Source organism: Homo sapiens, chromosome X (assembly GCF_000001405.40).
Source record: "Homo sapiens chromosome X, GRCh38.p14 Primary Assembly".
Taxonomy (NCBI): domain Eukaryota; kingdom Metazoa; phylum Chordata; class Mammalia; order Primates; family Hominidae; genus Homo; species Homo sapiens.
Genome location: NC_000023.11, coordinates 103075215 through 103099897, shown reverse-complemented (window position 1 = coordinate 103099897; position 24683 = coordinate 103075215). Strand labels below are relative to the sequence as shown.

General features: G+C 43.8%; 1 protein-coding gene and 1 pseudogene across 1 annotated transcript; one reads left to right on the top strand and one right to left on the bottom strand.

Moving 5' to 3' along the window:
• Positions 6755-24088, top strand: NXF3 (nuclear RNA export factor 3). Its single transcript, NM_022052.2, has 20 exons — positions 6755-6902; positions 15015-15183; positions 15403-15556; positions 16206-16289; positions 16396-16500; positions 16625-16705; positions 16825-16894; positions 17050-17138; positions 17534-17643; positions 19286-19322; positions 19682-19750; positions 19830-19885; positions 20028-20135; positions 20256-20314; positions 20424-20539; positions 20635-20677; positions 21266-21338; positions 22152-22284; positions 23597-23657; positions 23898-24088. Exons 1-19 carry the CDS (start codon positions 6875-6877, stop codon positions 23606-23608), a joined length of 1596 nt encoding a protein of 531 aa, NP_071335.1. The 5' UTR covers positions 6755-6874; the 3' UTR covers positions 23609-23657; positions 23898-24088.
• Positions 10427-12902, bottom strand: LOC100128601 (zinc finger protein 770 pseudogene; annotated as a pseudogene).

Below are 24683 nucleotides of genomic sequence, written 5' to 3'. Positions count from 1 at the left end.
CCTACAAATTCATAGTTTACTCCAAGGCGTTCACACACCACCAATCACGCAAATATATTCAAAGACACAGACAGTTATAGACAGAGAGAAGGAACACAGCAAGTAGTTCAGGAGACCAGCCTACTGACTGGGAGGGGGCGGGGGGGATGCTTCTTTTCTCTCAGCAGTGCTTCCGGTAACTGCAATGGATGGAAAAGAGGCCTCTGAGTTCTCACAGGCAGAGTTTCTACAGGTGTCTCTGTCGTGGTCCGTTTCTTTGTGGGTTTTATGGTCCTCTGTAAAAGTGTCCAGTATCCATACCCATCTTCTTCAGCTACCTTTTGGCTTCACTGTCTTGTCAAGTCTTGTTACAGCAGGTAGCTAGTCAGGCATGAGTGGGGCAGGAGAGGGCTCCCCACCCCTGCACCAGAAATGTCAGGTGACCATCAGGTGATGATTCGGCAGTTGTCACACTGCCTCTCTAAAAATGAGAATTGGTCACAGGCACCAGGGAGAGGCAATTTCCTGATGATCCAGCAGTTGTCACATTAAAATGTAATTGGTCACAGGTGCCAGGGAGAGGCAATTTCCCAATAGATAAAAACACTTGAAATTGGTAATCAGCAGCTTCCAGTAAAATCTCAGGTATTGGGCAAGTGAGCCTGGGCATGCACATTAAGAGACAAAAAGGCAGAGTATGACCTTCTGGGGGCATTCCACTGGAAAAGGGAAGAAAGCCTCTGTTGAGCATGTGTACAACTGCAGTAAACACACTGCACATGCTCACCTCCCAAGTGCAATGAGGGCACTGTACATGTGGGTAGCCCACCCTAAAGGAAGAATAAAGGGAAAGGGATGCAAGACACCAAAAGTAGTCCAGCATATACAAGTCAAAAGGTCAAATGCTGCACTTGTCTTTCAAGTTGCCCATTGGGGCCCCTTCCAAGTGTCCTTTCCTTTCTTTCGTTCCTGCTCTAGAGCTTTTTAACAAACTTCTACTCCTGCTCTAGAGCTTTTTAACAAACTTCTACTCCTGCTCTAAAACTTGCCTCAGTCTCTTCTTCTGCCTTATGCCCCTCAGTCAAATTCTTTCTTCTGAGTAGGCAGGAACTGCAGTTGCTGCAGACCAGTATGGATTAGCTGTCAGTAACGAATATTCGCCACCCCTAACAGTGTCTGGCCACAGCAAGTGTCATCTTATCACCTCATTCCACCATACATATGCTTATCACTCTCAGAGCTCAGTAGTTTCACTATCAGCTGAGTCACTTGTCATAAGTGACTCCATTTTGAGACATTTAGGATCACAAACATTATAGATCACAAAAAGGTATTAAATATGTAAATTAGGCACAAATGTTTATAAATGAACTCTTCATAGTTTCAGAAATCTTTTTGGTAACTTAAATCCTTAAGTAATAAATAGTCATTAAATGTTCAGGTTATTTCTAAATAAGTTAGAATACTAAAACATTAATTACTAATCACATGTTTAAAATTTATATACGTTGGCATCTTGCTTTTATGTGGTATAGAGAAGCAAAATATATTTGGGTCTGTTAGTAAACACTTAAAAATTTGTTCTATGAGAAAGTACATGCCTCTAGAAATTATGAAATAAACTGTAGGGGCCAAAGGAAGACCTCTCCTTCACTCTGTGAAGATTTGCTGAAAAATCAACTCACAAGAGGGAGATTAATAGGAGAAATGGCACGCACATTTATTGGCTTGCGTGGAGAGAATCACAGAGTGATTCCCCCCCGCCCCCTATTGGAGTACGGAAGCTTATATACTATTTCGAGGTTACAGAAAGAATGGGGACTTGGAGCATAGCCAAAAACAGGTTGTGGTGGTAAATCAGGTTATAGCTGCAAGATGGGTTATGGGAGGGAGAGAAGTGGAGACCTGGCTGGCAAAGGTTGTCTTGTTATGTAGATGAAACATGACAGGTAGCAGCCATCAGAAACAATAGATGATAAATATTTTTCATAGACCTTTAAGGTGTCAGACTCTCAGTTAATCTTTCCTAGATCTAGACAAAGAAGGGCTTCAGAGAAACTTTGGTTGCATCAATGCAGATTCTTTATAGATGCAAAATCTTCCACAAGAAAAGAGTTTTGTGGGGTTACTTCTGCTCATTGTGTTAATGGTGGAAGATGTCCAGGTTCTTGGCGTCATGAACAAGGAATTGGACAAAACGCACAAACAAAGCAAGGAAGGAATGAAGGGTTTTATTGAAAATGAAAGTACACTCCATAGTGTGGGAGCGGGCCTGAGCATAGGGGCTCAAAGACCCCATTACAGAATTTTTGGGAGTTTAAATATCCCCTAGAGGATTCCATTGGTTACTTGGGGTATGCCCTATGTAAATGGAGAGGATGAAGTTACAAAGTCATTTACTTGGCCTGTGCCCTATGGAGAGGATATTTCCTGTCATGGCTGAAGTGTGAATCAGCCTTATGTTCCCTACCTCCAGATCCTATTTCCCTGCCTCAGTTGGCTGTCTGGATAGCCATCTCAAAACATGTCAAAGAAGTATATTTTGGGATGAAATATTTTGATTCTCTTCAGTATATTCATAAAATATTGGCATAAGACAGTTCAAATTGCCATTTCTTACATTTTCATAAAAAATAAGCTTACTAAGAATTCAAAATTTTAATTAAATATGTAATTAAAATTACTAGAAATAAAAAAAATATATGTATGTAAAGTGTACAAGGAAAGTAAGGTGTGTTTTTGTTACTGGGGGTCCTTGCTCCCAGAGCTCCCAAGATGGTGGTGGGCCACTTCCAAAATGGCAACAGGCCACTTCCAAGATGGTGGCAAGCCTCATGTTCTCTGACCTGGGGTTCTTGGCCTCACGGATTCCAAGGAATGGAATCTTGGGCCATGCGGTGAGTGTTATAGCTCTATTAGAAGTCGTGGGTCATGGAAAAGAACCGTGGAATCCAGTGACTAGTGTTCAGCTCGATTAGTACGAACCCAGGCACTTAGCCATGTGGGAACAATGGCAAGCCTTTAGCCAGATGGGGAGTGGTAATGGGCACCTCGCTAGATCAGGAGCACAGCGGACACCCTGCTGGATCCGGAGGGGTGGAAGTCAGCAGCGGGTCTGCGACAGCTGCAATACAGCAGTGGTGAATGGCGAGCAAAAGCTCAGCTCGAGCCATAACAAACACGGACCAGAAGAGTGCAGTTGCAAGATTTAATAGAGTGAAATAGAGTGAAAACAGAGCTCCCATACAAGGGGAGGGGACCGAAAGGGGTTGACGTTGCCGGCTCGAATGCCTGGGTTTATATCCCGATCCTTGTCCCTCCCGCTGTGCTCTCAGGCAATAGATGATTGGCTATTTCTTTACCTCCTGTTTTTGCCTAATTCGCATTTTAGTGAGCTCTCTGATTGGTCGGGTGTGAGCTAAGTTGCAAGCTCCGTGTTTAAAGGTGGATGCGGTCACCTTCCCAGCTAGGCTTAGGGATTCTTAGTCGGCCTAGGAAATCCAGCTAGTCCTGTCTCTCATTTTGGCAAGAGAAATTGTAAAAAGACATGAGAATATATTTTTGTTAAAAGAGCAAATTTCATCTAATTTGGAGGTTTTTGAAAGGATATTTCAAAATATAGATTTAGGAAGTGTCGACAAAAAGTGTCAAACTCTAAAATATTTAAAGGGATTTATTCTGAGCCAAATATGAGCAACCATGGCCCTTGACACAGCCCTCAGGAGGTCCTGAGAACATGTGCCCAAGGAGGTGAGGGTGCAGCTTGGTTTTATACATTTTAGGGAGGCATGAGACGTCAATCACATACATTTAAGAAATACATTGGTTTGGTCCAGGAAGGTGGGACAATTCCAAGGCGGGGCTTCCAGGCTATCAGTAAATTTAAGGTAAATTTAAACATTTTCTGGTTGACAATTCGTTGAGGTTGTCTAAAGAACTGTGACCAATAGAAAGGAATGTCTGGGTTGTGATAAGAGGTTGTAGAGACCAAAGTTTTACTATGTAGATGAAGCTTTTAGTTAGCAGGCTTCAGAGAGAATAGGTTGTGAAATATTTCTTATCAGACTTAAAGCCTATGTTGATGTTAATGCTGAAGAGGTATAATGAGGCCTGTTCAACCCCCACTTCACATCATGACCTAAAACAGTCTCTCAGGTTCAATTTTAAGAACGCTGGCTGAGGAGAAAGTCCATTCAGATGGTTGAGGGGACTTAGAATTTTATTTTTGGTTTACAGAAGGAAATACAAACAAGGCAGGGAATGAACTGGTAAGCAGAAGAGATTAAAAAAAAAGTTATAAGTATGAAGATGTAGTTTTGGTAAAGAAAGATGAAAAAAGTAATTTTTTCTTTTGCTTAAGAGAACTTTGTGTGGTCAAAATGATATAGGGAAAAGGAAAGTAAACTGCAAGTTATAGAAAGTTCACAGAATAGAAATCTCATGAAAGAAATTTTTTGTGTCATCAAGTTGCCTAAAATAGAAGCTAATTATAAATAATACAAAGTTTTGCCAAAAATTGACGATTAATAAAAAATGCGCTGGTGAAGGCAAGGTTTTGGGCTCCTGTGTTGGAATAACTGGGTTTTCTCAGAACATTAAGCTGTTTTTAAAAGGAAATTGTGCGAGGTTTTTCTTTACCTTTTAGGTAACTGGCCTAGGGAACAGAGATTCTGTGTTTAATCAAGATAATTTCGTGGGCTTTGTGCCTGTGAAATCTTTTGTCACTTCCATTTTATTTCATAGTGACCTGTGATCCTATTTTGATCAAGTATTCTAGACCACTGATAGTTGACAAACTTCTCAAATATCAAAATTAAGTATTTTTGACCTTGAAGTAACTTTGGGATATTATGACAAGCCCTAGAACTTCTGAAAGTAGTTGTAAAAGAGATATTACACCATCAGCTTATCTGATATGTTCATTTATATGAGAAGCACTGTCTAAATAAGGAATGATGGTTAATCTTCTCTGAGTTATATTTACATGGATATATTATTAATGTGTGTTCCGAAATTGTATAACATTCCTAGAACTCTGATATGTCTTGGTATAAATACTATCAGTCACAATGTTGGTTCAGAAATAACCAAATTTTTTTGTCAATTGCATCACTATTATAATAGACTTTCATCAGGTTTTTAATAATGGCTATTTTCAGACTTGATGTCCACAGTTAATAGTATTTTTTAGTAAAGAGGGGGTTTCACCATGTTGGCCAGGCTGGTCTCAAACTGCTGACCTCAAGTGATCCACCCGCCTCAGCCTCCCAAAGTGCTGGGATTGCAGGCGTGAGCCACCATGCCCAGCCTAAATCTTTATTTTTTTTATAAAACAATATTATGTGAACATTTTTATAAAACGGTAAATGATATGGTTTGAGTGTTTGTGTTCCTCCAAAATTCACATTGAAACTTAATCTCCAGTGCAACAGTATTAAGAGGTAGGGCTTTAGGGAAGTAATTAGGCCACGAGAGCTCCACCTTCATAGATGGGCGCCGTGCAGCAGGGGGCGGCGCTCGTTGGGGAGGCTTGGGCGGCACAGGAGCCCACGGAGGCGGGGGTGGGGGTGAGGCTCAGGCATGGCGGGCTGCAGGTCCCGAGCCCTGCCCCGCGGGAAGGCAGCTAAGGCCTGGAGAGAAATTGAGCATAGCAGCTGCTGGCCCAGGTGCTAAGCCCCTCATTGCCCAGGGCAGCAGCGCTGGCCGGCTGCTACGAGTGTGGGGCCCACCGAGCCCACGCCCACCCAGAACTCCAGCTGGCCCGCAAGCGCCACGCGCAGCCCCGGTTACCGCTAGCGCTTCTCCCTCTACACCTCCCCGCAAGCTGAGGGAGCCAGCTCTGGCCTCGGCCAGCCCAGGAAGGGGCTCCCACAGTGCAGTGGCGGGCTGAAGGGCTCCTCAAGTGCCGCCAAAGTGGGAGCCCAGGCAGAGGAGGTGCCGAGAGCGAGCGAGGGCTGTGAGAGCTGCCAGCAAGCTGTCACCTCTCACTAGTTTATTCCCTCTCTCTGGCCTGAGACTTTAAGAGCTACATTTCTGGCTCTAATCATTAGGAGTATCCATCTACATTGACTATACTTTATTTTGTCTTTAAGACAATACTTGATTCTTTTCTACTTTCATTACAGTGACACACTAAACTTTTACTTTATATTTTCCTGGTCTGTTTTTTGTATTCTCTCTCTAGGATGGGCTGTAGTTAATTCCAGTCACACGAGTATTTGCAGAACATTGTCTTACTTTGCCCTAACTTAAGTAAACCCCAAATATTATAAGAGTTTAGAAAAGCTGTGCATAGAGGGGTCACCCACTATTCCATGGTTCTCATTTCCACTTTGTTTCTCCAGGTCACATCTGAATCATTCCAGACAAGGTCCTATACCTCATTAAGCCTCAGCACCTTCAGGAAGCTGGTGATTCTGAGTTGAGAGTCCCCTTGTGAGGAATACATGGAGAAAAAAGTAATGTAGCAAGTACAGAGCTTGAGCTACCATAGGCACTCTGAGTCTCTGAGTCTCTGAGTCTGCAGAGTAAATGAATACAATGTAATGCACTGGAGATGACCAGCAAGCTGAGTTTTCCGTGTTTGTTTCAATAAGTATCTGGGTCCTAGGCCTCATGATTGTGATTGTTGCTAACCACCTTTGCAGGAGTGGCTACATTAGAAACATCTCCCTGGGTGTTAGGCTGGCAGCAAACTTTGGGGAGTGGTAAGAACAGGAAGTTAATTCTGTGACTCCTAGGACACTCCTCTCTATGCTTGGGGAAGGAACTTCCTGTAAGCAAGGCTTGAGGCTTGCTCTCGCCTTCGTCAGCAGCCCTCCTCAATCTTCTCCAAACTCCCGTCCCCAGGCCACACAGATTCTCCTCAAGAGAGCCCTATAAGGACATTGGTAAAATGTCACTGCCTTCAGGACACACTACGGGTGAGTTGGCCAGCATGAGGCTGGAGTCTCAGGTCTCACAGGGCAAAAGGGACTGAGCCCCCTTCCCCACCTTACCCTAACCCACATAACACCCAGCCAATCTCCCTTTAGATGGGGGTGGGCAGTGGCAAGGGCCCAGGCCTGAGTCTTGTGGCCTTCTCAGGGCCAGGGTTTGAGGTATGAGGAGGGTCACCTGAGGCAGGGGTTGGTAAAAATTAACATTCCTTGGATGTACACTAGAGGTGGTAGTGGGGCAGGGAATACATCTTTAATCTTCACACTAACCATTCAAGGTAGATTGTATTACCTCCCACCCCAGCCCCAGAAATTTATCAAGGCTAGCCTTATGGCCCAGCATATGACTTATTCTGGAATGTTCCATGTGAAGGTTTTCTGTGCAGTGTTCTATGTCATTTAAGCAAACTTATTACTCATGCCATTTAAATCTTCTATATGTAGCTGAATTTTTGTCTGCTAGTTTTATCTGTTACTCAGAGAGGTGTGTTAAATTCCCACATCACAGTGGTTTTAACTATTTCTCTATTTACTTAGATCAGTTTTTGCTTTGTATCTAAACATAGATTGGTCCATGTTAAGACATGCATACAAATTTAGAATTTCTTTTTTTTTGTATAACTTGAAACTTTATTTTTAAAGTATTCTGAAATTTTTTCAATAATTTTAACCAGCACTTACTTCCCTTAAGCACACACACATTTTTATCTTACAATTATAAGCCCTATTGCAGTACAAAAAAAAACAATAATTCTACTAAGTTAGCCAGCCAATTAATTCTACTAAGTTAGCCAGCCAATCAAACTATGTCCGTAAATAATCATGTTACAGCCTAGAATCAAACAAAAAATTCTTCTAGTTCTCTTTAAAGATATTTATCATTAATTTTTTCATAAAACCAAAGTAATTGATCCAACAATACTAACAGTTCTAGCATGCAACAGACCATCTAATATCTAATGTTTAATCTTCTTCTTTTTTTTTTTTTTTTTTTTTGTGATGGAGTCTTGCTGTGTCGCCCAGGCTGGAGTGCAGTGGCACAATCTCGGCTCACTGCGAGCTCTGCCTCCCGGGTTCACGCCATTCTTCTGCCTCAGCCTCCCGAGTAGCTGGGACTACAGGCATCCGCCACCATGCCTGGCTAATTTTTTGTATTTTTAGTAGAGACGGGGTTTCACGGTGTTAGCCAGGATGGTCTCGATCTCCTGACCTCGTGATCCACCTGTCTCGGCCTCCCAAAGTGCTGGGATTACAGGCATGAGCCACCGCGCCTGGCCTAATCTTCTTAACATGTGTATTTTCATTCCTATAAAGTTTCCTTAAGAAGCTTGCAATAATAATAAAGGTAAATAAGTACAGTTGTCCCTTGGTATCCATGGGGTATTGGTTCCAGGACCCCCCCTACCCTGCCCACCCACAGATACCAAAAATCCAAGTATACTCAAGTCCCTTACATAAAGTGGCATACTTGCATATAACCAGCGCACATCCTCCTGCATACTTTATCTCTAGACTAATACCTAATGGAATGTAAATGCTATTTAAATAACAGTTATATTGTATTTTTTATTTGTATTATTTTTATATTTTTCTCTCCTATTATTTTTGATCTGCAATTGGTTTAATTCACAGAGGCAGAGTCCGTGGATACGGAGGACCAACTGTGTTTTGTTATAGGTACTTCAAATAGCACTTCAGTACATCTTTGACAAAATTTTTACAATATTCCAACTTTCAATATGAAACAGCTTAAAAAGGCATGGGTCAAAAAAAAAGTATAGTAGCATCACTTAGGCAAATAAAGCCTCATAATCATACAAACACAACACTGTTAGGACTCTCCCTGTTTAGGTCGGGAAAAAGAGTATATAAAACATTTCCTTCAAATAAAATTACATAAATTGCTTAGAAAAATGCCAAAATCAATAATTTCAGACATAATAAGGAGAAAACCTTGAACATTATTGGAAAATATAAACTAGCTATTCCTTGCTTTTGTGTAACAGATGAGTTCTTGAAAAGTTTTGTATTAAGCAAATTCTGTAAACCACTATCTTGCCTGCACTGGAAGAACATATCCCAAGGAAACCTAAGAGAAAGTGTTTTTTAAAGCATGTGATTCTCCTCTGTTTTTGTTGGCTGTCTCTACGTAATAAACAGGCACACTTCTACATCATTGGGTGTTTTACTCAGACTGCCATGTTTCATCTCTGTAAATTAAACCCAAGTTACTTAAAAATCACCTGTGGTAAAAGAAGCAAGCAGATCACCCCCACCTTCTATCCCTCCCGCCTCCCCCTGCCCCAAAAGGGAGTTCTCAGATTATGATGCAAAATTTACAATTGTTCTTTTATCCACATTCTCAATAGAGGATTTTCCACTATATTTAAGTATGGTAGGATAATTACCCACCTGTTCCTCTTTTCAGCTTAGAAACATAATGGTTAATTCCTTTTATTGCTAGAAAATGTCATTCCTGAAGATTTTATAAACAAAGGCAAAGGTGAAGGACAATTTGTCATTATGAAATAAGTCCTTTGTAGTTTAGAATATTTCCCAAATCATAACAGTTCTATTTGGAATGATACCCACAACTCTACAAGCATCTTATCCCTCTACAGGAATGACTACCTTACTAATCAAAATAAAAATTTAACAAGGATCAAAATAAAATTATTTAGCATTAGACTCTTGCAAAAATAAAAACTAAAACTAGACCTAGTCATTGCCATTTGATCAAACTTAGAACAGGCTTAAATAATAGGACCACTCCATTAAAGAGGCATAAAAAGAAAAGTTTACTAAAATAAATGTTAAAGTCTTATGGAGATGAAGATCTCTAGAATAGAGTCTTAAATCTATGACTACTGCTATAATTAATGAGCAAATGAATGACTTGAAATTATTCCTCTGAAAAGATAAAACTGCATACATATTATGAAAAAGACTATGGCACTTGGAAAATATTCCTGGTAAATAAACATGGTAAATGTATATGGATACATCCTAGCCTCTTGCCTACTTTTAAATTATTTTGAGAAAGATGTCACTCGCTGGGAAAAAAAAAAGAAAAAAAAAACCTTAATCACCTGAAGAAGTGAAATTACCACATAGTCCTAAAAATAAATAGCTTTGAAAAGACCAATGAAAAAATACTATAATTTTCTCATCCATTTTCACCTTTAGTGCCTCTGTAGTTCTTTAAATTTACAAAAAATTTCCAATGCAATTTGAGCCACATGTGGACAAAATTATGCTTTCATATGAAATGTAAGATAAATGAAATATAGCAGGGATATGTGCTGCAGCTAAAAACCAATTTTTGCCTCTCGGTCTTTTGAGTATATATAAAAAGAGATGGCATGTCTTAAGGAATAATTCCTTTAAAAATGAATGAGACTAAATTATTTATACAGCATCATGAATTTATATTTTTCAATACAGACACAGCATATGTTTACAATATTAAAATGCCTACTTTATAGCATCAAATCATGTTCTTGCCTCTAAAAATTAATTTGGCTGTTTCTAAAACATTGTATTAATTTTCTATGTATTTTACCTCCTTACTATGCAGGACAAACAAATGCCTGTGAAACCATTCAATTTAATGCAGGCCTCTTGATAAAAACGCATTTTAAATAATACAGGCTTTAAAAATAAGATCACCAGAGACCACAATTGTTAGTGGTTGTGACAGTTTACATAACCGAATCCAAGGCAACCAGTTTCTCTTGTGGTCGTTCTTTAAATTGAGTAAGTTGATGTCTCTTCCAGTGAGGAGCCTGTCGGAATGTTTTGCCACAAACTGAGCATTCAAATAGTTTCTGCCCTGCATGAATTAGTTAGTGTTTTTCCAGTATAGATGGAGATCAGAAACTCCTAGCACAAACACTGCGTCGGTACAGGAAGACATCATTTTTCTCCTGATGTTCTGAATAACTGCAAAAAGGATGGCTTTGCTCTGATTCCAAAAGTACATTAGGAAGACAGGGCTGCCTGGTGCTACCAGGAATAAAATCCTGTGAGTCTGCCTTAACTCCTGACATTTGATCTGACTCTGAGACCTCGTATTTTTGAACACCAGGAGCCTGACATTGTTGGGAATCATTATAGTTAACATTATTACGTGGATGATTAGAAAGATTGTTCAAGTTTCCAAATTCTACTTGGCAAAGGGATGCATAAGGACTCTTTTCATTATGAATCTGTTCATGTCTTTTTAAGTGAGCTGACTGTCTAAAAGATTTCCTACAAATATTAACAGCAAAAAGGCCTCTGTCCAGTATGAACTAAATAGTGTCTTTTTAGTTTGGATACAGAAGGAAATACCTTCTCACATTTGTCACAGAGACATATCTTATGTCTAGTACGTATGTTTTCCCTTGGAACTGAAAAACCACACTGAAGTACCTCACAGTTATTAAATAATTCCTCACCTGATGAGCCACAGATTGACAAGTCTTTCTTATTCACTGAATTATCAATGCTTAATAAGTTTGCTGTAGTAAGGATACCTTTCATTTTTTTCCCACATTTTGGTTCTGGAACTGCTTTTGCCAAGAAAATCGCAAAGTCAATGTTTTTTTTTATTGCCAATTGTTTTATATGTTCCATGTTTGCCAAGAGAACCCACAAATGTTCTTTGGGTTTGTTCAGAGCACGGCTCACCAGAAATACGATCACAATTTTTCAAGAATCTCTTTTTAAATACTTTTTTCTAGGATCAAAAGTTATCTAATTTTTTACTCCTAGCACGTTTAAGCTTGGCCAATATTTTTTTTAACAATGGTTTTATAGTTGTAGCTTCTTTTGAACCTGCTTGGAATTTTGCCACCTCTAGCAGGAAAACACATGTGTTCATTGAGAATCTGCTGTGATTCAAAACATTTTCACACTTTGGATATTGAAAAGGGACAATATAAATTGAGTGGACATAAAGTGGATTATTCTACTCAGATTCACCAATATCACCATTTTCAAAACCACCCTGATTTGCATTTAACTTATTAGGCAGGGGGCAATATTCTGTATGCCTCTTCTTTAATAAAAGAGCTCAAAAAGCCTTATTCCTAGTATGGATTTGTTTATGCTTCAGAAGTTTGCTTTGAATCTTAAAACCTTTTTGACAAAAACAACATTGAAAAGGTCTTCTGAATGTGTAAGTTGGTGGATTTTTAAGTGAGGTGACTGTCAAAAAGATTTACTACACGAGAGACATTTAAAAGGCCTCTGACCAGTATGAATAAGTACATGCCTATCCAGTTTTGACTGTGATGGAAACATCTTGCCACAGATTGTATATGCATGAATATTCTTTCTTCTCTTCATGCTATATGTGGGATCGGACTTAGAGCACGGGTGTAATGCCCATCTTTCCTCTGGTAAAAGTATTATACACTCCATATGTTGACTTTTCTTGTTTGGCCTCCAGCAGTCTTCTGACCTGTTTAACATTATTCTGATAGGTTTCATTGTGAAGTTGTTGGTGCTTCACAAATGTCTTCAGATTTTTTAAGTGGCGCTGACAAACACTACATTTAAAAGGCAGATTATGAGTTAGCTGATGCCTCTCCAGATGAACTAGTTGTCTAAAGGTTTTATGACACACATCACATTCAAATGGCTTTTGACCAGTATGAATGAGATAGTGCCTAGCTAATTTTGATGGTGTTTCAAAGTGCTTGAAGCAAATATTGCAAATATATGGCCTGTTTCTAGGTACTTTGTTGGCTACCACACACTGTTGAATCTTTAGCATTTTTAAATAGTTTTCAGGCATCATATTCTTCAGTGATGTAGTCTGATGAGCTCCATAGCGTTCCTACACCAGTGTTGCCTCAAGGCTGAAAGCCTGTTGATTTTCTTGTCTTGACTAGTACCATTAAAACGATGTGAGGATTTCACGAAAGTAGGCGAACAAGAAATGAAAGACCTTAGCGGAATTGAGGCAGGTCTGACCCTCCCTGGGAGTCTCTCCACTTCTCAATCGGGTTTCTGAAGTCTACCTCACACACCTGGAGCTGGCGAGGGCCCAGGAGCCACCCACCTCAGGCCCAGGTGCCATGAAGGCAGTGCGCGCACCTGCTTTCTTAATATCTTCTTGTTGATGTGAACCTTTATCATTATGAGTTCTTTTCTCTAGTATTTCTTAAAGTATATATTTTCTCTTATTAATATGGTTACATAAGCTTTCAGTCAGTCAGTGTGTAAATGGTATGAATCGTGCCATTTTTCTTATTTTCAAATATTCTGTATTATTAAATTTTACATGTTTTTTTTTCAGGATAATTTGATGGAATTTTTTATCTAGTGTGATACTCTGTGCCTTTTAATTTAGAATACTTAAGTTTAATTTCTTTTAATGAAAATATAGGTATGATTTGGTTTAAATAGACCGTATTACTATATATTTATTTTTGCCTGTTTTAAGTTCTTTTTCCACACCTCTCCTTTGAAATGATTAATAGTTTTAACTATTAAATTTTTATCTCATTTGGCTAGAAAGTGAAACTTCCTGCCATTGTTGTAGTGTTTATCCTTAGGATTACAATATATATCTTTGCCCTATCACAATCCAGTGTAAATTAGTTCTGCACTGGAGTGCAGTGGCGGGATTTCGGCTCACTACAAGCTCTGCTTCCCGGGTCCACGCCATTCTCCTGCCTCAGCCTCCTGAGTAGCTGGGACCACAGGCGCCCGCCACCACCCCCGGCTAATTTTTTTGTATTTTTAGTAGAGATGGTGTTAGCCAGGATGGTCTCGATCTCCTGACCTCATGATCCGCCCATCTCGGCCTCCCAAAGTGCTGGGATTACAGGCGTGAGCCACCGCCAGCCAGCTAATTTTTTAAAAAATAATTTTGTAGAGGCCGGGCACGGTGGCCGACACCTGTAATCCCAGCAGTTTGAGAGGCCAAGGTGGGCGGATCACTTGAGGTCTGGAATTTGAGACCAGCCTGGCCTGGAGGTCTGGAATTTGAGTCCCAGAAATAAGGAGAGGGAACAGTGGAGAAGTAGTGTTAGATATGCTTACCAAATCTTTCTTTCTTTCTTTCTTTTTTTTTTTTTTTTTTTTTTTGACAGAGTCTCGCTTTGTCGCCCAGGCTGGAGTGCAGTGGTGTGATCTTGGCTCACTGCAAGCTCTGCCTCCTGGGCTCACGCCACTCTCCTGCCTCAGCCTCCCGAGTAGCTGGGACTACAGGCGCCCGCCATCACGCCCGGCTAATTTTTTGTATTTTTAGTAGAGAGGGTGTTTCATCATGTTAGCCAGCATGGTCTCCATCTCCTGACCTCGTGATACACCTACCTCGGCTTCCCAAAGTGCTGGGATTACAGGCAAGAGCCAACGCGCCCGGCTGCGCTTACCACATCTTTTTAAATTCTCTCTTTCACTCTTTTGGTAATTAATTCCATAATTATGTCTCTCCAAGATTCATTCTGGATATTTTCTTCAGCAATGTTTTCATTTATCTGATTCTTCTTTGAGGCAGGGAACTTGCCTTTGACCCTTGAGCCATAATAGCAAACTTTTAGGGTAGATTTTATTATTCTCCAATTAGAGGTGGGAATTTAGGGTTACAGATGATAAGCAATTTGTTCCATGTTACCCAGCCTGAAAAGGGCAGAGCAAGGACTATCATCATAGATTAGTATCACCTAAACCCAAACCCTTTCTGCTGTGCTTATTTTCTCCTTGGCTGTTAATGTTCCCCAACACTCATCTCCCAGGAGGTGAAACCACAGTGAAGTCTTTCAACTTTTTTTGGCACTGTGATATATTTCTTTCTAGATTATAAAAATCACCAGCCTGGGCAACACAGAGAGACCCCATCTCTAAAAAAAAAAAATTAGCCAGATGTGGTGGCACATGCCTGTAGTCCCAGCTACTTGGGAGGCTGAGGTGGGAGGATTTCTTAAGCCATAGAGGACAAGGCCACAGTGAGTGGTGATCATGCCACTGCACTACAGTCTGGGCAGTAGAGCCAGATCCTGACTCTAAATAAATAAATATCAGTGAATTTTTTCATTATCCATTATATTTTCCCAAGATTTTTTTCTGGTATTCTAAGTGTTGATGTGCTGTTCTTAATTTAAGGTCACACTGATCAAGTTGTTCAAAGAAGAGCAAGATGTTGGGATATTTACCAAAGGAGATTTAGCAGTAGGTCTGAACCTGTCAATCCTGGCATGCATTCTTCATCCCATCAGCAGCAAGATGGAGATGCAGCAATGCATGGTGCCCACATGGACTCTCCAGTAAGATAGTAAGTGACCAGTAGTCAGCATGGCTGGAATGTACCAGCCAGTGAAATACATAACTCTGTAGCTGAATATGTCATTCTTTCCAACTTGACAGAGAGAGGAATGACAGAACTCGATTAATGGTTGATTTAACTTCATTGTAGCCCTGGTATCAGTGGATCAAATGTGTATAAAATACTTTCGGAGCATATGTGAACTACCTTTTCTCCACTTGCTCACAGCACTCCCTATACTATTTCACCCTATAATCGGAAAGGCAGTTTTCGTAAACAAGACCAAACCCACGTTAACATGGAGAGAGAGCAAAAACCTCCAGAGAGAAGAATGGAGGGGAACATGCCGGATGGGACCTTAGGGAGCTGGTTCAAGATCACAGTGAGTGTCCTGGCAAAGTGGATCTAATGTTCAGAAGGAGAACAGGGGGAATTGTGTTGGATTTGTGTGGACACTAGATACTTTTGTAAGGGCAGGAAAGTATGTAATCTGTCCTTTATTACTAGGAGTTAACATCCTAGATCATCTTAAGAGTAAATTCAGAGAAGCAATGTAAGGGGAACAGACTGACTGCAGAGAGAGCGGAAGAGGTCGTTTACAATCAAAGGAGGAAACGAATGCTAAGGAGATAGAGTATCTCCACACCAGATGCTTCAGTTTAGCTCAAACTAAGTGTGTGAGGGGTTGAATTAGTGGGGTCCTTGTCAAAGGGGCAGGCCTGGTCTGCCTTAGGTAGGCTCTTGTGGGACTTTATAAAAGAAAGCTCATATTAAACATCTTAAATTGATTATTTTAAGAAAACTATTTGAATAGTAAGAAAGGGTATTTAGGAAATCCATGTTTGGTTAGAAATAATAGATATTAGAAATAATGAAAGAAATAATAATGAAATACATAAGTTAGCAATAATGGATGTTGTCCTATCTTAAACTATTTTAAAGTCTGAAAGGAACATATTTGGGTCCACTTTTAACGTTTAATTCCATTATGTCAGTCTCCTTTCCTCACTCATTCTTTCTTTCACTCATAGGTTCCCTTTGGCATAAAATACAATGAGAAGTGGCTGCTGAATTTGATTCAGAATGAATGCAGTGTACCCTTCGTCCCAGTTGAGGTAAGAAAGGACCGTGAGGCAGACGAGAGAAAACAGGACAGGTTGGGGGCTGGATGAGCAGAGACTCTGGCCTCATATTTCATTTCTCTTGCAACTCTCCCTATAGTTTCACTATGAAAACATGCATGCCAGCTTCTTTGTGGAGAATGCCAGCATCGCCTATGCACTGAAGAATGTCAGTGGCAAGATTTGGGATGAGGATAATGAAAAGGTGTGTGTCAAATGAATGACCAGGGCTAGCATCGAGCAAGAGGGCAGGGCAAGGGTAAGGTCTTGCTTGATCTTGGGGGTCAGAGTTCCTAGTGTTTACTCAGCCCCTCTTGGGTTCTCTGCAGATATCAATCTTTGTCAACCCTGCTGGCATACCCCACTTTGTGCACAGGGAGCTGAAGTCAGAAAAGGTGGAGCAGATAAAGGTAACACAGACTCATGGCAAGTTGTTCACACAAAGCCAGACCCACTGCTTCTTCCCCACCTATTGCCCCCTTCACCACCTCAACTTCAGAGCCTCTGAAACCCATCTCTAACTCTGCAGCTGGCCATGAACCAACAGTGTGATGTCTCCCAGGAAGCTCTTGATATCCAGAGACTCCCATTTTACCCAGGTATGGCTGAGAAAGTAATTCTATGGTAGATGAGGGCAGAGGTGTCTGTGTGAGATGGAGACTTACGGTTGGCAACTTGGGGAGGGGTTAGTGCTGATGCTGTACCAGGCGGGTCCCTCTCAGACTTCTGATTTTCTCCTCTCTGCTTTCTGGAGACATGGTGAACCGTGATACTAAGATGGCATCGAATCCTAGAAAGTGCATGGCTGCCTCCCTGGACGTCCATGAAGAGAACATACCTACAGTGAGGCCTTAGGCTCATGCTGGGATTGAGGGTGAAGGTGGAAGAGATTAGCTAGGAGGCTAATTGGTCTAAGATATCCCCTGTTGGGGGCCTTCACTCTTAGTTCTTAATTCATTCCTCCCCATAGCTTTTGCCCTTGAACCCAAACAGCAACAAAGCCTACCAGATGCTTGACATTATGCCAAAGGCCCCCAACATTAACAAGCTGAATTTCTTGAAAAATAAAATGAGGTGTAATACTCAGATAGTTCTTTGAAGAAAAAGGGGGAGGAGGGTTCATTAGGGTAGTGACAAGAGGCAAGGAAGTGGATTTGTTGGCAAGGGAGGAGACTGAGGGTGCAGGGCCCTCCAGCTGCTCTTTCCTGGGTCTACGTGGTTCTTCTGCATAATTGCAGGTGATGTCTGCAGGGGAGATGGACAAGTGGAAAGGGATAGAGCCAGGAGAGAAGTGTGCGGACAGAAGCCCAGTGTGCACGACCTTCTCGGATACCTCCAGCAACATAAAGTCAGTTGTACCCTCTGTCACCACCTGGGACCCTGACCTGTGTTTGATAGCGCCCTTCTGCAGGAGGAGGCAGCACTAGTCTTCTGGGAGGACCACAGACCCTCTCCTTCCCCCTCGCCCCACTCCTCTCTCTGTGTCACTCATTCATCTGTGCTTAGACATCTCCTTTCCTTCCTCTGACATGGTCCCCTTTTCACCCGCTCTGGGATGTGTTTCCCACCTGTCTCCACCCAGCCTCCTCTAGCGTGCCCTCTGTGAGTGTGCTCCAGGAAGCGGGGCTCCCCCACTTCCCCAGGACCAGCAGTATTCAGGTGCTGGTGCCCTGGACCGAGAAGAGTCCTTTAGTCCAGGGCCTCATGCTGAGACAGGCCTTCCTGCCTCCATGCTGATATGGGGCTTCCCTCCTCCGTCCCGAGAGGGGTTCTCCTTCTCTTGCTCCAAAAAGGTCCCCTCTCCTGTCCCAGGCTGGCATGGGGGCTTCCCTGCCCCATACTGAGGGCCGAGGCCCTGGGTGGCTGCTGTCATGCCATCTCTTCCTCTGGCCAATGCTAGGAGCTGGGCCCTCCTTGGGGAGAAACCTGGGTTTCCTGAGTCAAGGGACCAGAAGCGGGCCACATTCCTGAGGCAGGAGTGGAAGGCAGAGGGCAGAGGAGGTTGAGGAGACAGAAGGACAGGCCTCTCAGGGCACTGCCCCTCCTTCCCTCCTTCTCCACCTCACATCATCCTGCCTGGGTCCTCAGAGGAGCCCTGGGTAGCCCGAGATGGGTAGCATTCCTCGGTCAAGGCATCAGCACAGAGGGGCACAGGAGTCTGGGACCATCAGAAGAGAATGCAGTGGTCGGGAGAGGGGGTCCCCAGACTCTGAACCCCATGCTGAGCTGGGGCTTGACCCTTCACTTCTCCCGGGAGAAGGTCTCCTGTCCCCGTGGCTGCTCTGTTTCCCATGCCCAGCTCAGACTGAGCTCACACAGGTGAGAAAGGCTCCAGCTGCATCCAGTGGGCCCCAGCCCAACAGGCGCATGTTTTCCTTTCTTGCCTCGGTCCCCAGGGCCAGCTGGGGCCAGTGAGGGAAAGGGCTGCAGCAGGGGAGCCCTTTTCTTCTCTCTTCCTCCCTGAACTCCACCACCACGGTAGAGCATCTTTCCCTTCCCTTTGCTTTGCATCCTGTTTCTCCATTGTCTCTCCTCTCATATGTCTCACCTGTCTCTCCCTCCCCTACCTTCACCCCGTTTCTGCCATCATTCCCCTGCCTTCCCCTTCTGCCTCCTGAGCCTGCGTCACTCACCTCCCTGTCCCAGCATCCTGGGCCATCCCTAAGAGCTGACCTGGTCTTGGCCAGGGCCAGGACAGGCAGACTGACGGACATCCAGTGAGGTAGCAGAGCCCTGGGCTCCCACCCCATTTCCTACTCCCTGCAGAGCCTTCAGTGGGGACTTGGACAAAGGTGAGAGAGGGATGGAGGGAGGGGAAGAAAGTCCTGAAGCCTGGGCTCCCAATGCTGCCCAGGGCTGCAGAGGCAGGAACTTCGGAGTGTAGGTGGACACACTGCACTGTGTCTCTGACGTAGGTGTGATTGCTCCCATGAGGAGGACAGCTCCACAGTTTCACTTACCGTTGTCCATTTTGTTTTGATTTTCGGCAGCTCCATCCTGGAATTGTTCCCCAAATTATTATGCCTGGTAAGTGTATTCCTTGATCATTGACTTTCCTAATTGGGACTGATGCTGCCCCCAACTGCCCCAAACCCCTTTAGATATTGTCCCAGTTACATTTTTGGAGCTAACCCTTAAACCTCAAGGGAGTGGGGGAAGGGAATACGGACCCATGTGGGAACTTGGCAGAGCCTGTGGAGCTTCTTCACACAGGTTCACAACAGGCTTCAGGTGGCGGCAATCCCGACTGTAGTCTTGCCCACGTAATTTCCAGAACGCTTTCACACCTGATTTCTGATCTCACCCTCTCCTGGGTCTATCCTTTTCCGTAATTTTCTGTGCCACCTCCCTACTTTGCACTACTGACTTCCTCTTGCCTTCCCCAGGATGGCCAGCAGTCACCCAGAGCAACTTTATGTGGTACTGAAGCCCACAAGAGGTTACCAACCTGTAAGGTGAGAAGAGAGGATCCAGCAGGGTGGTGCATGAGGAAGGGGGGGTACCATCTGTGGTCCTGGGGACTCTTTATTCCAGGGAAGCTTCTTTGGATCTGAGATGTTGAAGAATCTGGTCCTGCAATTCCTGCAGCAGTAAGTATCCCTGGGAATCTGAGGCAAGAGAAGGCTAGGTCAGATGAATTTACCCAAGTACAAGTCTGCCTACAGTCAGACTTTCAAGACTCATTTGGCACCCAGGCCACAGAGATAGCCTGTCCTCACTGGTCTCCAACAGGTATTACTTGATCTATGACTCTGGAGATCGACAGGGTCTCCTTAGTGCTTACCACGATGAGGCCTGCTTCTCCCTGAGCATTCCCTTCAATCCTGAGGACTCAGCCCCGTGAGTATCACAGCTCCGACCCTGGTCCAGGGCCATGTGACTCCCCTGCAGAAAGACACCAGCTCCTGGAGATGCCTGCACTGGCCAGACCACCCACTCCTGCTCCTCTTTTTCTTCTAGGAGCAGCTTCTGCAAGTTCTTCAAGGATAGCAGGAATATAAAAATTCTCAAGGACCCCTGTAAGTGTGTGATGGAGAAGTCTGGGCAGGGTAAGGGGGTGTGACAGGAACAATCACACAACTGGGGTGTGGCAGCCCCCCAAATCCTTGCTTCTCTTCTCCTCTACAGACCTTCGGGGGGAGCTGCTGAAGCACACAAAACTTGATATTGTGGACTCCCTCAGTGCGTTGCCTAAAACTCAGCATGACCTCAGCTCCTTCCTGGTGGACATGTGGTACCAGACGGTGAGTACCTGCTTCCTCCCTTGGGCAGGCCCAGAAAGCCAGAGGTGGGTAGGAGGTTAAGGGGGATCCTGAGCACCTGAGATCTTCCCTTTCAGGAATGGATGCTCTGCTTTTCTGTCAACGGGGTGTTCAAGGAAGGTGAGTGTCTGTAGAGTCCCTTCCCCAGATCCCCCACTCCTCCCTCCCCCTGGCTGGGCTCCATCTCAGAACTCCCCCAGCTTCCCTCATTTCGTTCCTTTCCTTCCTCTTGTTCCCTCCGTGTTTTCCCACCCCAACTCTGCCCACAAACCACCCTGATCTGACCTAGGCCCATGCCTGTCTGCCCTGCACAGCTCAGGCGTGCGTTAAGCACACAGACTGTGGAGTCTGACAGCTCTCATCCCAGGTCTTTACTCTGAACTTGTGCTAGTTACTTAACCCTTCAGTTTCCTCATTTGCAGAATGGGGCTAATAATAACCCATCTCTTGGGCTACTGTGAAATAGGAATTAAGTGAACTTGTGGTTTTCACAGGGCCCCACACATGATAGGGGCCCTATCACTGGGAGCGGATTATTCCTGTTGTTGCCCTCCCCATTCCTACCACATCCGCCTCACTCCAAGTGAACAACTGTCCTGGTCTGGCCCCCTTCTGTGTGAGTGTCAAGCAAGACTCTGATTGGGGATCACCATGTGAGCACGTAAAGCCTGTGCAACTCTAAGGCAATGTTGTTTGTTGTCTTTGAAGTGGAAGGACAGTCTCAGGGTTCTGTTCTCGCCTTCACCCGGACCTTCATTGCTACCCCTGGCAGCAGTTCCAGGTTAGTGCTGTGTTGTGGGTGGGAGCACCCATCCCAACCTGGGGCCAGTGGTGTGGGAATGTGGTGGTGCAGTCCTCGGGGTGTTCTCAATGTTGTAAAAAACCGACAGTCTAGTCTAATAGTTAAGAGTATGGGCCAGGAGCAGTGGCTCACGCCTGTAATCCCAGTATTTTAGGAAGCTGAATGTGGAAGGATTGCTTGAGCCCGAGAGTTTGAGACCAGCCTAGGCAACACAGTGAGACCCTGTCTCTACAAAAAAACTAAAAATTAGCTGGGTGTGGTGGTGTGCATCTATCATCCTGCCATTCAGGAAGTTGAGGTGGAAGGATCTTGAGCCCAGGAGGTTGAGGCTGCAGTGAGCCTAGATCACATCACTGCACTCCAGCCTGAGTGAGACCCTGTATTGAAAAAAATTTTTAAAATGTGTGGGCTCTGGAGTCAGAGTATGAGTTCTTTCCTGATGCAATACTCACTGTGACTTTGGTCAAGGCATGTGACCTCTTTGTAATTCAGAATCTTCCTTTGAAACTGGTGATTACAGTGTCCACTCCCTTGGGCTATTGTAAAGGGCAAATGTGAGTGTAAAACCATCCTTGGGTTGTAGGTAAACCTACAAAACTGGTGAAGCATGTAGGTAATCTCTCCAAAGGTGGGCTCTGTGGAAGGTTTAGAGGGTACCAGCCAAAAAGCTAGGAGGGAGGCACAGTAGAGGTATCGAAGAAATCAGGTTGCTGAACAGTAGGAAAAAGATCCTTGTAGCGGGTGGGGAGGTGTCCTTCTCTCCGGCTACCTGATGGCCCATTTTTCCTCCAGTCTGTGCATCGTGAATGACAAGCTCTTTGTGCGGGATACCAGCCACCAAGGGACCCAGAGTGCCTTGTTCACCCTAGTGCCCACAGCCTTCTCCAGCTCCGTGCCTGCCTTCTCCCAGGAGCAGCAGAAAATGGTACAGGTTTTCTCTGCCCAGTCTGGGGGATGAACTACCAGTTGCCTCAGAAGTGAGTGCTGGGCCGGGCGCGGTGGCTCACGCCTGTAATCCCAGCACTTTGGGAGGCCGAGGCGGGCGAATCACGAGGTCAGGAGATTGAGACCATCCTGGCTAACACGGTGAAACCCCGTCTCTACTAAAAATAGAAAAAAAATTAGCTGGGCGTGGTGGCGGGCGCCTGTAGTCCCAGCTACTTGGGAGCCTGAGGCAGGAGAATGGCGTGAACCCAGGAGGCGGAGCTCGCAGTGAGCAGAGATTGCTCCACTCCACTCCAGCCTGGGCAACAGAGCAAGACTCCGTCTCGGAAAAAAAAAAAAAAAAAAAAAAAGAAGTGAGTGCTGGGTGTGTATGGTGATTAGTGATTGGTATGCACTGGGAGGAGCAGGGGAGTGAATAATGGGAACTTGCAGATAGTTGGCTTTGCTTCTTTATTTCACTCAGTATCATACTGTACATTTCCCTCTTGATACATATTCAGCTACCTAGTTATTTTGAACAGGTGTACAGTACTTCTCTGAATTCTGTCAATCGAGAAAAATGATGAGACAAGTCTCAATCATTTTAGGAGGTTTATTTGCCAAAGTTAAGGACATGTGCCCGGGAGACAGGTCTATGCCTTTCAAAGATGATTTTGAGGACTCCAGATTTAAAGGGGAAAGGGTAGGATATTGAGAAGTACACAATTTTCACGTAAGGGGGAGGGTAGGGAAAGATAGTTACTCATGCCTTTGGCTGGCTCAGTGAATCTGCATTTTTTTATATAAGATGACATAGAGAAAATGGGGTGGGGGAACAATCAGATACGCATTTGTGTCTGGTGGATGGGGGGGTGACTGTACCTGTAAAGATAAGCTATCAATTTACATTGTCATGGTGAAATTTTAACAGAAACACCTTACAGCAAAGATGTTGCAGCTCACGAGGAATTTCCTTGCGGACAAAATATGGGGGAGGCGTGTAGCTTTTCATCTTATAGCCATCTTATTTAGGAACCAAAAGGGGAGGCAGGTTTGCATGACCCAGTTCCCAGCTTCACTTTTACCTTTAGCTTAGTGATTTTGGGACCCCAAGATTTATTTTCCTTTCACAGTTCCATGGATCCTGTTCCTTTGTTGGTAGACATTTGGCTTTTCACAGGGTTCCTTCTGCTGCAATAAATTCCAGAAAACACAGACATGTTTCTGTTGCATAGATTAAGAAATGGCATTGTATTGTCAGAGTGTCTGCACTTGGGTCCTAATGGATGTTACCTGTCCTTCCTCCACCACAGCTGCCTTCGTAACAACCAGTGTGACTACGTCAGAGCTCCTCATGTTCTTGCATGGCCCAAGGTGAGGTCTAGGAATTCAGGCCAAGTGAGCAGAGGTTGGGTGGCCTGGGGATTGAACTTGGGCTTCCGGTTCTGCTGATCTCCCAGCTCCCTCCTGCACTTCCTCTCGGCCAAGGGCAAGATCCTAGAGAAGGCCCTCACACAGACTGACCTAGGATCCTGAAAACAAAGCCCTAAGAGGAAATCCTTAAGTGTCATAATCTTCAGCCTCATCATCTTCCCTGTATTTTTGTTCCAATAGATGTATTTCCCTGTGACTGAACCAGGAGATCTGGCTGGGGCTAAGAAGCCGAAGCCCAACTCACAGGGCTGACTCTCATCCTTCCAAAGGGGCCAGTTGTTCTGTGCACTTGTCCACCCCTGTTACCCCCAGGATCTCTGTTCCTTTTCACAATAAAGTATGGTGTCTTGTTATGTCAAATCCCTGCAAAATCCATTTGAGTCAGGCATTATTATCTCTGTTCTACGGAAAAGGAAAGGGATATTCAAAGAGAATGAGTAATTCCTGGGAAATCCTAGAGTCGAGTCTCAAATCTTGGACCCACCCTTAGGATAGAGCTGTACTCCAGAGGGCCATGTGGCTTCAAAGGTGGAGAGTGCTCTTTAACCCTGTTAAGCCTGGAGGCTAATGTTCTATGTCCCTAGTGCATCAAGTAAGATATTTTTTATGCAGAGAACGTTATTACTTTCTTAGCCATACGAATCTATTCAAATTTAAAAACAACGCATTTGGGGAAAAATAGCATTAAAGAATGCACGAAAACCTGGGAAGAAAAAATTGCCCACATATATGATGGACATAGGATTAATAGCCTTCATGTATAGAGAAATCAGTAGAGAGAAGGGAAAGTGATATCAATCTCAAATCGTTATAAAAAGCAATTGCGGCTGGGCACGGTGGCTCAAGCCTGTAATCCCAGCACTTTGGGAGGCTGAGGCAGGCGGATCACTTGTCAGGTGTTCGAGACCAGCCTGACCAAAATGGTGAAACCTTGTCTCTACGAAAACTACAAAAATTAGCCGGGTA